Source organism: Homo sapiens, chromosome 11, assembly GCF_000001405.40.
Source record: "Homo sapiens chromosome 11, GRCh38.p14 Primary Assembly".
NCBI lineage: Eukaryota > Metazoa > Chordata > Mammalia > Primates > Hominidae > Homo > Homo sapiens.
Genome location: NC_000011.10, coordinates 45,035,922 through 45,051,184, shown reverse-complemented (window position 1 = coordinate 45,051,184; position 15,263 = coordinate 45,035,922). Strand labels below are relative to the sequence as shown.

The 15,263-nt window shown below is 48.6% G+C and overlaps 1 long non-coding RNA gene across 1 annotated transcript in view, besides 3 other annotated features; it reads right to left on the bottom strand.

Moving 5' to 3' along the window:
- Positions 231 to 418: a silencer, noted in NCBI's record as "fragment chr11:45072318-45072505 (GRCh37/hg19 assembly coordinates)". NCBI's record gives its function as "represses an EF-1alpha promoter that drives an FKBP-Casp9 reporter gene in an ReSE screen in HepG2 liver carcinoma cells {active_cell/tissue: HepG2}" and the evidence as "EXISTENCE:reporter gene assay evidence [ECO:0000049][PMID:32094911]".
- Positions 1,308 to 1,807: an enhancer, noted in NCBI's record as "H3K4me1 hESC enhancer chr11:45070929-45071428 (GRCh37/hg19 assembly coordinates)". NCBI's record gives its function as "activates a minimal SCP1, AML or CMV promoter by ChIP-STARR-seq in naive H9 embryonic stem cells {active_cell/tissue: H9 hESC(naive)}" and the evidence as "EXISTENCE:reporter gene assay evidence [ECO:0000049][PMID:30033119]".
- LOC105376650 (uncharacterized) overlaps positions 7,132 to 15,263 on the bottom strand; it is a 35,979-nt gene continuing 27,847 nt past the window's right edge. The window contains exons 2-3 of the long non-coding RNA XR_931237.3: positions 9,439 to 9,648; positions 7,132 to 7,490 (exon numbers count right to left, since the gene is read on the bottom strand). This is a non-coding gene — a long non-coding RNA (uncharacterized LOC105376650). The remainder of the gene's footprint in view (positions 7,491 to 9,438; positions 9,649 to 15,263) is intronic.
- Positions 9,352 to 9,853: an enhancer, noted in NCBI's record as "H3K4me1 hESC enhancer chr11:45062883-45063384 (GRCh37/hg19 assembly coordinates)". NCBI's record gives its function as "activates a minimal SCP1, AML or CMV promoter by ChIP-STARR-seq in naive H9 embryonic stem cells {active_cell/tissue: H9 hESC(naive)}" and the evidence as "EXISTENCE:reporter gene assay evidence [ECO:0000049][PMID:30033119]".

The window sequence follows — 15,263 nt, the reverse complement described above, 5'->3', positions numbered from 1 at the left end:
TAGAGTGTTCAAATTCATAGAGACAGAAAGTGGAATGGTGGCTGCCAGGGGCTGGGACTTGGGGGAATGAGGAGTCATTGTTTCATGGGTACAAAATTTTAGTTTTGCAAGATAAAGAGTTCTGGAGCTGGGCGGTGGTGATGGTTGCATAGCAGTGTGAATGTAGTTCATGCTACTAAGCTGTACGCTTAAACATGGTTAAGACAGTAAATTTTACATTAAGTGTATTTTATTCTGATTTTTTAAAAAAGAAAGGGAAGCTCAGAGGAGTTATTTGCCCAAGGTCACACAGCTCCTGGGAAGTTGAGCTTGCATTTGAACCCAAGCAGGGTGACTCCAGAGTTTACACTCTTAAGCCCTCCACTTTTCACGTTGGTCACTGCAGTAAAAGGTGGGAGAAAGACCCTGGCAGGCAAATGAGGCCAGAGGCCAGCATGACATGGCAGGCTAGAGATGGAACTCTGCAGGCCTGATCCAGGCTCTTACCTTCGACATGAAGCATGTCTCTCAGCCTCCCTGGGTCAACGGTGCACCAGCGGGATAGAGATTGTAGAGATACTACCTCAAGGAGCAGGTGTGAAGATGAAAGGAGAACATACTTGTTAAGCTCCTGGCACAGTGCTGGGCTCAATGAAGAGAGGGTTAAATACTCACAAACATGGTGCAGCCTCAGCTCCATTGCCCCGCGCCCCATAACAAAGGTCCACTCAGTCAGCTCTGGGAGCGTCAAAGAGGAAACATCTTGAATGCAGCATCTTGGGATGTGCCTTGAAGTAGGTGACATTTGAGTGAAGGGTAGAGTAGCGTTTTAACAAGAGACTGTGAGACTGGGATGGTATTCCTGGGAGAGGTTACAGCCCGAGTAACAATCTGGAGGGGGTGGTGTTCAATCTGTTCTGAGAACCTGCAACTAGGCTCATATGGCGTGAGTGTAGGACTAAAAATAATCAAGTTTTTTTTGGTGGGGGGGTGAAAATTACAGAAATTCAGCTGAAAGGGGATTTTTTGCTCGTGTTTTCAGAAGAGTCCAAGAGATGAGCTTCAGGTGCAGCTGGATCCAGGTGCTCAAACTATGTCATTTCGATTTCTTCTTTCTTGTTTCATTTTTCTTGTTCTGCTTTCTTTGGCACTGGCTTTTTTCTGAGATAGAGCCTAGCCACATCTTAGGGGTTCCCTGCTCCCTGCTTCAGTCTCAATTGGGAAAAAATATTGATTTCCCAGTCATTCCAACCACAGTCTCAGTGCTGACACTGGTTGACCCAGCTTCTATGCCAAGCCATCCCTGAGTCAGGCCCTGCACTCAGGGCTGTACTCCAGGCTGAGGCTTGGGCCCACCTGTGAATCTGAGGGGTGGGGTCGGCCCTGCCTGGGCTACATGGGCCAAGAGTGGAGGCAGGGTATTTCCTCAAAGCCAAATCAGGATGACGTTTCCAGAAGGAAGGAAATAAATGTTAAGCAGACAAAAACACCAGATGTCCTCTACAGGTAGCAAGAGCTAAGGCTGCAAGAGAAATCAGAAGCCCTGCTCTAATTCACACCACCGCAGCCCCCGCTCCCAGCTTCTCCCACCTCCCAGCCTCCCCCTCCTTTTCTACAAGATGTACTCATTCCCACCTCCTTGGTTTCTCTTGCACACGCTCCCAACCTCCCTGGATGCTGGGCATAATCTGGTCCTCATCAGAGGTGCTAGAAATACCTTCTGTCAACACAGCATCTGCCAGCTGCCGCCCCCCACCCAGCCACAGCTACATCATTTGAGTTAGTGGGAACTGGCGGACTGGCGGCTGGAGGTGCGTGTGTCTCAGGCTGACTGGCTCCTCCCTGCCTCCACCTCCTGTCTGTGAGATCCTTGGCCATCTGGGGGAGCATGCGACTTTCCTGCCCAAACTGACCTTAATCAGGTTTGCGTGCACGAGCCCAGAAGACGCTCACTGGCTCCGCTGATATGCCAGAGCCAAATATAGGACAGGCCCAGCCCCACCCCCTTAATTCTGTAATTTGTTCGAAATCAGATGATAACGCTAGCCTGGGGAGACATAATTTGTGATAAGCCAGTCCTCCTGGGTTTCGTCCAAGATGACATCAACGTAGAGTAGCGTGCCTGTGGATCAGGCTCCTTCCCTGTGCTCATCATCTTCCCTTTTTAGTCCCTACTCCTGGTCCCAATGGCCATCTGCCACTGCTGCCTCTCTCCCTTTCCCCCAGTCCCTGACAAACTGACACGATGTGGAGGAAATGTGCTATTTACTCATTCATTCACCCTACCGCTAACCACTGAGCTCGTGCTAAGTGCAGACACTGCGCGAGCAGCTGAGGACAGAAGATGGACAGGCCCTGGCTGCCTATGGCTGTCCAGAGATTGTAGCCTCCCGGGGCAGGGGAGACCAATGTCCCTCTCAAAAGAATATGCAGTTTTCAGGGACAAGACTCACAGTAGGCAGAGCTGGGGGGGTGAGGGTCAGCATTACTTAGGGGAGTAGTAGGGCCTCAGAGGGCGGTCGAGGGCTGCCCACAGTGAACAATGGCGGGGGTGCAGAGCTGGGATGTCAGCTCTTGGCCTCCCTCACGAGCTCTGTCCCCTTGACCGTGGCCATGGGCTCCTGTCCTGCCTGGAGACAGAAGGCCAGGTCAGTGGTTTGGTAAGGATCCTGTTCTCTGGGGAAGATGTGAGGCAACCACATGGGTGCTTCAGACCTTCCTTATCTGCCTCCTCCCATTTCCTGGAATAGTTCCTGTTCATTCACACAATAAAAATGGCCAGAGTACTTGCTAACGCTGGGTCTGGGCCCAGGCACAGGGTAGCATGGGAAGCCAAAGATGTGTGGACCAAAACCAGAGGGTTTCACAGGTAAACAGAATGGTGTCTGTATGCAGCCAAAGGAAGGTTCAGGGCTGTAAGATACACTAAGAACAAGGGAACTCGTCTAGGAGGTCAAGAAGGTGAGGACTGAAGTGAGTTCTATCTGGCAGGAAAGTTAGAATTAAGTAGGGGAGACAGTGAAAGAAATGTGCTTTGGCTGGGCGTGGTGGCTTGCGCCTGTCATCCCAGCACTTTGGGAAGCTGAGGCAGGCAGATCACGAGGTCAGGACATCAAGACCATCCTGGCTAACACGGTGAAACCCGTCTTTACTAAAAATACAAAAAATTAGCCGGCATGGTGGCAGGCACCTGTAGTCCCAGCTACTCGGGAGGCTGAGGCAGGAGAATGGTGTGAACCCGGGAGGCAGAGCTTGCAGTGAACTGAGATGGCACCACTGCACTCCAGCCTGGGCAACAGAGTGAGACTCCATCTCAAAATAAAAAAAAAAAAAAAGAAAGAAAAAAGAAGAAAAAAGAAATGCGCTCCAGGCCAGAGGCATGACAAGGGTAAAGTTCTGGAGGCAGGAACATGGGGGTTGGAATAGGGGTGGTGCCAGGCGTGGTGGCTCACGCCTGTAATCCAAACACTTTGGGAGGCCAAGGTGGGTGGATCACCTGAGGTCAGGAGTTCGAGACCAGCCTGACCAACATGGAGAAAGCCCATCTCTACTAAAAATACAAAATTAGCTGGGCGTGGTGGCGTATGCCTGTAATCTCAGCTACTCAGGAGACTGAGGCAGGAGAATTGCTTGAACCTGGGAGGCAGAGGTTGCAATGAGCCAAGATCGCTCCATTGCACTTCAGCCTGGGCAACAAGAGCAAAACTCCATCTAAAAAAAAAAAAAAAGGAATGGGGGTGGTGTGATACTGGGCAAAGGTGGGAAATGGGTGGGTCTGACCTTGGCCCTTGAACCCCATTGGGGAGCAACAGGGGGCCACTTTGAGGGGTCCGGTTGGTCTCAGGCCTGGCCCAGGGTGCCCTGGTTATGAAGGCCACACTGTCAACCAAGCTCTAGGCCTGCATACAGGATGCCCAGTTATGGATAAACAATGAATACTTTTTGAGTTTCATATAAACAATAAATTTTTCGGTAGAAGTATGTCTTGGCTTCTCCACACTTATGCTAAAAAATTATTTGCTATTTATCTGAGATCCAAATTTAACTGGGCATCCTGTTTTCTGTTTGTCTGTTGTTTTTGCTAAATCTAGCAACCCTAGATGGAGAGATGTAGGATGTCCTGCCCCTCCTTGGGACTGTCCTCGTCCCCTCTTGGTAATCAGATGTGTCCGGGCTGATTAACTAGACCACAGCCTGTTCTCTCTGGCCCTTGCCACTGCCACCTGCCCGAGCCGCCAAAACCTGCCTCTCCTTCCCCCAGTGCCCTCACCCTGCTCCCTAGGACTCCCACCGAGATAGCCATTGGGAGGAGGAGGAGGAGGCAGGACAGACAGACAGCCTCCCAAAGTCATAGTTGGGAGTGGGGTGAGAATCAGGACCTGCCAGTTGTGTGGCCCAAATAAGCTCCCCCCCGTCCCACCTCTGAGCCTTTGGTCAGGCTGTTCCCTCTGCCTGGCGCTTCCTTCTCACCTTGCCTGCTCGTCCAAGGCCCAGTTTGTCACGAGCTCAGAAAAGTATTTTCTGACCTTCCTATCTTTCACAGCACCCGGAGACTTTGATGACAATAATATCATAAGCTACCATTTGCTAAGCACCGGCTATGTGCAGGGCACTTCATACACTGGTCTATTGACATTTCACATCTCCTGGGGGTGGGGGGTGGGCTTCCTTCTCTTCATTGTGCAGATGAGGAAACTGAGGCTTAGAGAAGGTGAATAAAAGATGCAGATTCACGCTGTGAAGCATCGGAACCGCGCCCGTCCTCACTCCCAGGAGATCGGGGCAACGCTGAGCTCAGCAAGGTGGACTGTCCACGTCAACAGCATTTTCAGACCACAGAGACTCCCTAGGTCCCCCTCCTTACCTTTCTCTTTCCAAATATAAACCACTCCTGCTCACACTTCCTGCCAATCGGCAGGAAACAAGTTTCCTGTTTCCTTTTACAATTCCCAGCTAGACTCTTCTTTGACCCCTGTTGCCTGAGGCTGGCCTAGCAGAAATCTGTAAAGAGTTCTTGATTTAAAAAGTAATCACTTGGTCGTCTCCTGGGCTTTAGTCTGTTTTTTGTCTGTTGTCATCTTGAGCAATATCCTGTGACTCACGCACCCCGTGGATCTCCGTCCACCCCCACTGGCTCGTGGAGGCAGCACAGACACCTATGCCTTCACCTGCAGTCTCAGCCCATGCCAGCTGCGACCTGGAGCACCACATCCCGGATTCTCCAGGGTAAATTGGCTGATTGGTTTTAATCAGTTCCCTGCTGCCAACAAGCCACCAGGGAGCAGAGTGGACAGGAGTGGAGGAGGGAAGTTATTCAGTGGGCAGGAACTCACTGTGTGTGGCTGGCTGAACACTTACCGTCTCTGGGTTCTAGTTCCCTCATTCATGTAAAAGGAAAAAAGAGAACGTAATTCTATAATAATAGAGTCACTCATTCTCCAGTCTTTTTTGAGCACCTACTTTGTGTGCTAGGGCACCGGGTGCGGTGGCTCATGCCTGTAATCCCAGCACTTTAGGAGACCAAGGCGGGCAGATCACCTGAGGTCAGGAGTTTGAGACCAGCCTGACCAACAGGGTGAAACCCATCTCTACTAAAAATACAAAAATTAGCTGGGCGTGGTGGTGGGCGCCTGTAATCCCAGCTACTTGGAAGGCTGAGGCGGGAGAATCACTTGAACCCGGGAGGCAGAGGTTGCAGTGAGCCGAGATCACGCCACTGCACTCCTGCCTGGGCAACAGAGTGAGACTCTGCCTCAATAAAAATAAAAAAGAAAAGAAAAGGAAATATGTTAGGCCCTAGACATATCTATGAACAAAAGGGATAAGAGTCATCCTCATAGCGCTAATATTCTTTTGGGGGAGACTGAGACTATAGAATTTCACTATCCTCTGTGGAAACCACTAGCCACACGGGGCAATGGAAATTCAAAGTATTTAAAATGAAACAAAACTAAAAATTCAGTTCCTCTGATACAATGGCTGCATTTCAAGTGCTCAACAGCCATATGTGGTCAGTGGCTATTGTATTGAGTAGCGTGGGTTGTGGAACATGTCTATCCTTATAGGAAGTTCCATCAGATAGACTTGCTGGAGACTAAAGTATAATATGACACCACGCAAGGGTAAGTGCTGCAAGGACAAGAGAAGAAGGGCAGGGAGTAGACAGTGGGTGGGGTGATGTTTTTTGTTTGTTTTTGGAAAGAATGGTTGGGAAGGAAATATTTGAGCAGAGACGATAGCAGTGAAGGAGTGGTCCTTTTAGAAAACCAGGGGAAGACTGTTCCAGGCAGAGGAAACAGCAGGTACAAAGGCCGTGAGGTTGGTGGGCTGAAGAAGGGAATCCAGTGTGGCTAGAGTGGATTGACCTGGGGAAATGTGACAAAAATGAGACCTGACCCGTTTGGGGCTGTATAATTTGGGGCCCTGCTCAGCATGGTAAGTTCTCAGGTGTAAAGGGAAGGTAGGTTGCAGGCTTGTAAGTTTCAAGCTGCAGAGTGACCCGCTCTGATTTACTTGTGAAAAGATCAGCCGATTGCTGGGCAGAGTGAGGGGTCAAGAGGGGAAGCAGGTGGCCAGTTAGGAGGCTGGTAATTCCGATGATTATCACCGGGGCAGGAGCACTGGATGTGATCAAAAGTAGTGAGATTCTGGAAATGTTTCAAGAGAAGAGCCAGCAGTCTTGCTGACAGATTAGATTTGAGGTGTCAGAAAGGAGAGCAAAATCAAGGATTTCTGGGCTGGGTACCAGTTCACAATGGGACCACTGAGACACACGCACAGCCTAGAAGTATGGGGGAAGTTGATGCCCGGTGGGAACCTTCCCCGTGGGGCGTTCTTAGCCTGGGGGAGATGGAACCTGTGATAAACGCTCCCTCTTTCTTCTTTGGATGAGTCCTTCTGGCAGTCCCATGGGATGGACTGACTCTGTTCAGAGCTCATCACCATCGCCAGCCTGCGACTCCTGGCACACGCTCCTAGTCCCTGCAACACGCTCTCACAGCTAAGCCTCTGTTGTTGGCTCTGCTTTCTGGAGACCCAGGCTAAGATACACCCATTATTTCCCTGCATCCATCATGGGATGTCCACTCCGCACAAAGCTAGAATCTAGGACAGAGGTTATACACCAAGCAGACACGCAGGGCACACAGTTAGTGCTCTATAAGTGTGGCTGTCATCATTATTGAGTCTTTCCACAACCCAGTGATCTAAGTGTTATCATCCAATTACACCGATGGAAACTGAGGTTCAGAGAGGTTAAGTGACTTGCTGAGGTCACACAGCAGGTCAGAAGTAAAACCCATACTTGAACATGTCTATTCTAGTCCAGAGTTCTTGGGACCAAGGGACTCATCTTAGTCAGTTCTGGCTGTCATAATAAAATACCATAGACTAGGTGGCTTAAACAACAGGAATTCTCATATTTCTAAAGTCTGGAAGTCCATGATCAAGGTTCTGGCAGATTTGGTTCCTGGTAAGAGCTCTCTTCCTGATTGTAGACAGCCATCTTCTCACTATGACCTCACATGGGAGGGGGAGAGAGAGAGAGAGAGAGAGAGTTAGTTAGTTCCAGCATCTCTTCCTCTGGTCTTACAAGGACACCAATTCCATCGTGGGGGCCCCACCCTTATTAACTCATCAAACTTAAGTACTTCCCAAAGGCCCCGTCTCCAAATATCATCACATTGGGGGTTAGAGCTTCACATAGGATGTTTGGGAAGACACAGACATGGAGTCCACAACAGGACTGTTTCCTGGTGCTCAGGGGCTGGGCTGCAGCCTTAAACCTCTCTTCCAGCTCAAGGGAGGGCTGAGCATCTCTTGAGCTCCCAGCCTGTGGATTGATTGGCTTTGATTATTTTCTGGAAGGATACTATGCAGGGGGAGTAAAGGAGCATTTTTGGGGGCCTTGGAGTGCAGATCAGCACTCACTCCCCCACACCTTGCCTCCCTTTCCCCTGGATCTGTTCACCCTTTGCCAGCAGGACACAGACCCACCCTTGGTATTAGCTTTGGCTGAGAGGCAAAGTCTGGGCTGCTGGGATGAAAGAAGGGATCTGTCTATAATGGTGTTTCCCAAGCTGCATCCCAAGGTAAACTCATGCCCTCTGAGTCCCATTAGGGCTAAACAAAGAGCAGGCTCTGTAATTAAATGTGCCTGGAAAATGTGAGGTTACATAAAATCGGAAGGCCTTTTTACCCTGGAATTTCTCAGAACCTTGAATATGCCAATCTGTGCTGTGACTGTCCTGAGGGAGTGTGGGGCATGCGGTATTTCCCAAACAGATTTACTCAAGGAACCCTCTTTGCTGAGGACAACTTTTTGGATCTGCAGAACTTGATTTGGGCACAGCTGCTGTAGTGTTTGGCACATTCTCCCCTTTTCCAGATGGACTAGATTGCCTCAGCCAGATGGGGGCTTCCCTGAGGCTGGCTGCTCCTGCCTGGGAAGTCTCTGTTCCCTCTCTTGCTTGCTCTGGGGAGACAGCATGAGTCACTCATCTTGGGCATTGGGTGCCAGCTCTGGGTGAAGGGCGGGGTGTGTTCAACAGGATGCCACTAGCAGCCTCCTTGGTTCCAGCCCTCTGGCATAGAAGCAAACGTTACCTTTAAGGGTAGACCCAATAGGAGATGAAGGTTCTTTCGACATGTGTTGGTTATTAGAGCAATGCTGGTTATTAAAAACTGAGATTCTTTTATACCAGTTGGTTAAAAGCTGCTCCCCCAAGCCCCTGAGTATTTTTACCACCACAGCTGTTCCAACCACCCCAGCCCTCTCCTGAGATCCTTCTCACAATCCAGCAACCAAGGGATTAATGCTTGCCACAACCAGGGCCCTTCAGGACCCTGCTTCAGGCCTCCAGAAGGCCTGGGTGTGTTCTAGCTGGTCATAGCCCTGCCATACCAGGTGAGGAATAATTTGAATATCATCCTTGGTGTCAACTATGAGTGCCCATCAGATGCTCTAGTGTCAGAGGATGAGAGCAGATGAAGAACATGGGGGCAGTGGTGTGCTAGAGGAGAAAGGGCTCAGACCTGGGATTGAGACCTCTTAACCTCTTTGTCTGCCACATTCTAGCTGTGTGCCCTGGAGGGGTTGAGCAGTGTTTTCCTTCCCTGAGTCTCAGTGTTCTCCTCTGCAGGATAGGATGCTATTCCTGCCCTTGGGAGGGTGTTATGAGGGTAAAGGAGCCCTGTAGCCAGCACAGAGCCTGGGCCACAAATAACGTGAATTCTTTTTTCCTTCCCCAGCCTGCCCAGGGCCAGATGCTGGTGGCGGCAGGTGCCTGAAGTGATGCTTCTCTTGCGTGTCCCTCACCCACAGCAGCCTTCTCATTAAGGGAGCTGTTCCGCATCCACATCTAATTACCCTCTAACTGCCTGCACCCCACTGAGCTCCGCCTGCTTTCTGCCTCCTGCCTGGGCAGGAGATGATGTCTAATTGGAAGCCGCTCTGCTAACCTGGCAGGACTCCACTCCTGATGGGGGAGGCAGTCTTGGGGGAGGCTGGCCCCAGCTGGCACCTGTGGGCGACTTCCAGCAGAGGGGCAGGGACAGCAAAGGCAATGGAGGCAGTTTCCAGAATCTCCAGGCTTTGGCTGAGTTACTGGCCCATGAAGGCAGAACCACAGTGAGCTGATGGTGTTGGAAGCTCTGCATTGACTTATTTTTCTGTAAAAGCAATTTAGAGTAGTGATTAGGGGTGCATGCTTGGAGCCCAACAGACCTGGTTTGAGCCTTTGCTCTCTGCTTACCAGCTGGAACCTCTCAAAGCCTCTATGATCCCCAGTTTTCTCATCTGAATGGGAATGCTATCATGGAAAGGAAATGAAAAAAGGACACAAAGGGTTTAGCATGGAGCCCAGCCTACAGCAAGCCTTTGGCCATTGGAGGCTACATTAAGCTGCAAACCCCAGGTTCCACCTCACCTTTCAGGGGAAAAGGCCCCACTGAGGACCCTTTTACATATAATATCTCATTTAATGTCCACACAACCCCATGCAGTAATTTGCTTTTTTCACAGAAAAGGAAACGGATTTAGAGAATAAAGTGACGTATCCAAGATCATCCCAATGGGAAGAAGTCTCATCCCATTGTTCCTTCTGCACCCACTCTTGGCTTTCATTCATAAACATTGATTGGGTGCCTATGATGTTCCTCACTCGATTCCAGCAAGACTAGACTCCAGAATTTTTTGCTACAGCCCGTTGTTTGGCAAGCCAGGGACCTTCACATCAGTGACACACACTGTACCTTCATTTCCCATCCCCTTTTCCCTGCATGCCTCTACTAGGGAGGTGAGAAAGCTACTCACTCAGCTTCCCAGTATATTTACAGCCAGCAACAGTCCATGATATGCACCTGACAATTTGGTAGGGGGAGTTGGAGCGAGCAGTAGGTGGAGGGGGATTGGTCTTTCAAACAAAGCTTTGAATTCCTGGTAAAGGAATCAAACTCCACGACTCCACAGATCATCTTCTACTCTCTTCCTTCCTTAAATACTCTGCCCTGACACAACCATGCCATAAAGAAATCTGGGCTGAAAGACCACGTGGAGATAGAAGGGCCCAGCATCACAGCTACTCAGTCCACAGCTGATCTTCCAGCAGAATGCAGGTAAGACCAGCAGAAGAACTGCCCGACCAGCAGAAGAACTGCCTGATCAACTACAGAATCAGGAAAATAATACATTATTGTCACTTACACTACCAAGATTTGGCAAGACTTGCTATGCGGCAAAATCTAATGAAAACAACTGTCTGCTTCGACATGCTAGCAGCCCACAGTGGATAAGCTGCAGGCCTGGCTTGTGACCCTAATGAGAGGGGAGCCTTGGGGACCTGTGGCTGCTGAAAAGAAGAATCCTGGCACACACTGAACACTCCTTCTGGTCTAATGTAAAAGGGAGAGAGACAAACACTAATTCTGGGTTTTCCATCTGGAACCAAAAAAAAATTTTTAAATAGGGCAATTTTGTAGCTTTTTGCTTGTATCCAGCCCTCTGAGACTGCTGAGACCAAATTCAGAAAATAACCATACACCTTGCCAAACTGCAGCAGCTGAATTTTTGCCATTCTTGGTTTCTATGATTGAAATTAATTCATTTAGTAAGAAAGACTGGCAGAGAGGAGGAAAATTGGGCATTAGAGGCAGAGAAAAGGCTTTGAGCAAAAGCTCAGAGATGTGGTATCAATGAAGCTTGCACTCAGATGTAAGTAAACAAGTACTAGGTTAACCAGTCACTTGTGCCAATGGGTTCCTAAACTTCAATGTGCATTAGAATCACCTGGAGGATTTGTTAAACCTCAGATAGCTCAGAGTTTGTGATGATGCACATCTGACGGGGGCTCATGAATTTGCTTTTCTGATGAGTCTCTACGTGATGCTGGTGATGTTCAAATTAGTCCCAGACTTTCAGAACCACTGGCCTGAAATTTAGGCCCTAAATCAATAAGGTGTTATTTCCTCATCTTGCAGTAGGTGATTGGGGTTATAGTTCAGGCCTCAACAATGCCATCAGAAGTCCAGAATTCCAGTCTGTCTTCTTGGAGATCCTTGTTTTTCATCTTATGCTTGAAGTCTCTTGGTCACAAGATGGCTGCTGGAGCTCCAGATCTCATGTCTGTTTCAAAAGAGCAAACTCAGTAGTCAAATGTCTCCTGGCATTTAGCCTGTAAAACTCACACAATCTCACTTCTGCCACATTCTATTAGTGAAAGCAATCCAAAGACCACCTTAGATTTGAGGGGATGGAATAGATTCTACATTGCAAAGGGGTAAACATGTGGGATTGGATTGCAGCCATTACAAGTCCTACCACATCTGCCTTCTGGCCACAAATTATTCATGTTCTTTCCACAGGAAATTATGTGTATCCTGTCTCCAAGCCCCCATAAATCTTACCCTACTTATAGCATCAGGATCATTATCCAAAGTCTCATGGTCTAGATCAGGTTTGGATGTCAGTGGGGCTCCTCTCCATCCAACATTTGTGAAATAAAAAGGCAAGTTGTTTGAACCTGCAGACACCCAACATACAATGGCAAGACATTATGGACACAATCCATAACAAGGAAGGACCATTAGGCATGTAAAAATCTCTGGTCCCTAGCAATTTTGAAATCTATCCAGGCACATCTTGTCAAGTCCACCTCCTCTGGGGATAGGAGACGCTCCTTGATTAGGGCCTAGCTTGGCTTCCTGGTGGTGGTCTCCAGTTCATTGTTCTTTTTAGCTCTTGCCTCCATTCTTTGAGCTCCTGCCTCTGCTCTCTGAGATTCTCCTATTCCATATGAATTTTTTTGCAACTAAATAGCTTTCATGGTCAGCTTTCTGCTTGTAAATTCAGAGGCCCAGAGTACTCTTTTCATTTGAAACTGTCTTAGTCCCTTTTAGTCCGAACTAGTGATACTCTTGTTAATACAATTCCCTCAAACATTGTGGGTTTTCTATGAATCTTACTGGGGGCATTCAGTGCTCCCAAAGCCACATAATTCTCTTTGAGACAGGTTTTTTTTTCCACTTTGGGCATGTCCAGCTGCTGTAGCTCAATACTCTTAAGGTTCTTAGAAGCCCTTTTGTACAGCTGTGAGGCACTGCTGGGCATCACTTGAAATCATTTTGAGGTCTTAACAAAGGGTTTTTACAGCCTTGATTCTGTCTTAACCCTAAGGTTGTTTTCACTCAGAATATTTTTCCAAGAAAGGTTAAGGGATAAAGAACAGTTTTATTTTTCAACTCCGCATATTCTGTTCTTCTGTTACCTCTAAATTTTTCTTACCAACTAAATAGTTTTGGTTCATCTCTCTTCCTGTGCCTTATCATACAACCCTAAAAGGAGCCAATTAGCTCTTTCCAGGCTCTGCTTGGAAATCTCCTTAGCCAGATCCATAAGTCCATTTGGCACATTTTCTATTTCCCAAGTTTCTTTGGTGACAGCCTTGCCAACGGTTCTGCCATGACATAACATGAGTCCCCTTTCTTCAACCTCCAATGGCAATATGCTTACAGTCCACCTACTCCAGCCTCCATGGATGGTTTCCCCAGTTCCCTTAGCCTCCACCCAATGTCTGGGTTCCAGGGCCAATGTACATCGTTCAGCTTTGCTTTATGGAAGCAGCCTACTTCCAGGTACCAATTTTTATTAACTGTTATCAATGGCAGTATAAAACCTACCCCAAAACTTGGTTTAAAACAATAATCTAGCACTTCTCATGTTGTCTGGGTGGTTCCTCTGCTGTTTCTGCTGGGCTCACTTAAATATGGCTGCATGCAGCTGGAGGACTGGCAGTTGGTGCTGGCTATTGGCTGGGGTGCCTGGGTTCTCCTCCATGTGGTCTGTCATCCTCCAGGCTAACCTGGGCTTGCTTACATGAGTAGGCTCAGGGTAGCATGCCCAGAGGGCAAAGGCAGAAACTGAATGGCCTCTTGAGGCCTGGGCTCTGAAATTCACACAACATCACTTCTGCCAGATTCTATTGCCACTGGCTAGCTTAGGTTTAAGGGGATAGAGAAAGAACTCCACCCCTGGCTGGGAGACTCAGCACAATCATGTTACAAAGAAGAGGCTGTACTGAGATGGGAGGAATTTATGGCCATTTAATCTACCACAATCCTCATTGCCTCTCTATTTTCTTTGATCCCATAGTCAGCTCATATTTCCTCCAAGAGCTTATTATTTGCAAGTCTATTCAAATTTCCTGTTAGTCAGAGATTGTTTCATTGCAAATAATAGAAGCCCTGCAAAATAGCTCAATTCAGGTTGGGGAGGGTACAAATATCACGGAAATAAAATGGGGATCTCATGAAACCTGGAATGGGGAGGGACCAAGAAAGTATCTTTCTGTCATTTGTTTCCTCTCTCTCTCCTTCTTCAGTATAGTCTTCTATGCTGCTGCTTTTTGTGTGTGTGTGTCTCTGTTCCATTCTTCTCTGAAAATCTACTTACTCTGCATCCTTGTGGCTTCTTTCCTCCTATAATTTTGGTCCAAGACATGCAAGCAAAAGTCTGCTGGTCTGTTGGGAGAGGGAGCATAAAAAAATATGCTTGCCAACATTGACCTACTGTGGGGTCCAAAGCCCCAATTCCACAGACACAGACCCAGAACCACCACCCATTAACCAGAGTCTTCATATTCCTTAGTTCATATTTTTAGTGAAAGAAAAGTAGGTCTCTGGCCCCACAGTGGACTGGCTTCTCCTGGATTAGCCATTCACCCCTGGTCCAATCAGCTACGGATGTCAGGGAAGGCATCACGTGATACAAAACGGCTTCTCCGATGTGCCCCTCCAGCTGGGCTGTGGGTGTGAAGCTCTCCAGGGACAGCTGGAATTCCCTCAGGGTTCATCCTGGCATGCTGGGGCCCCGAGTATGTCTCCTGGAGACCAAGGTAAGGGGCCCTCAAGGAGACAGTCTTGCTGATCAGTCCGTCAACCCTCCCTCTGATGACATTTTTCTTCAGGCTGCCTCAAAACTGTCTGTTTTGCTCCTAGAAGGGCGAGCCATTCTCTGTTCTTGGTGGTGATGTGATCTTCATCCAGCATGGGGAAGGGGCTTGCATCCTGGTTCTGCCTTTTGCAAGCTTCATGATCGTCCGTTCGTCTTTCCAAGCTTCCATTTCTTCATCTGCAGGATGGAGATGGGATCCCTGCCTCACATGTCGTGGCAGGGCCAAAGATAGCAAATGTCAACAGCCTAATCTGGCACTGCAAATACTAAAAGATAATGGCTAGAATAACAACAACAACAATAATAATAATTAGCAATATATACTTACATGTGTTACAGTAGTTGTTGCCCCTTGGCCTGTGAATTTTGAGGGGATAAGGAGTGGGGTCTCTTCATGCTTGGGGACCTGATTAGTGGTATTAAGGTGTGGTGTGACTCAATCAATGACACCTTGAGCCTCCTTGATGCAGGGAATAGACGGCAGGCCTCTGAGGACCCAACAACTCCCAGCGCGCCAGCTCTCACACCAGCCATGGCCTGGCAGGAGGAAGGGAAGTGTCTGCAGTAGGCATAGCTCTGTCTCTGACATGGGGCTCCCCCAAAGCTGCTCACCCTAGGGCCCAGCACCCTAGGATAAGCCATGGGATGCCCTGGCTAAATTCTGGAGATGGATAGCTCCTTGGTGGATTTTGCAGACCCCTTTGCTCTTTGTCAGCCTTCTGGGGCTGCAGCCTGCTCAGAGCACTGTGTTGGACTGGAGTCAGGACTGGGTAAGTACGTAAAATTTAAATTTGTAAGTTCAGTTCCCAGGTAGTAGCCCTGACTGAAGCTCCAGGAT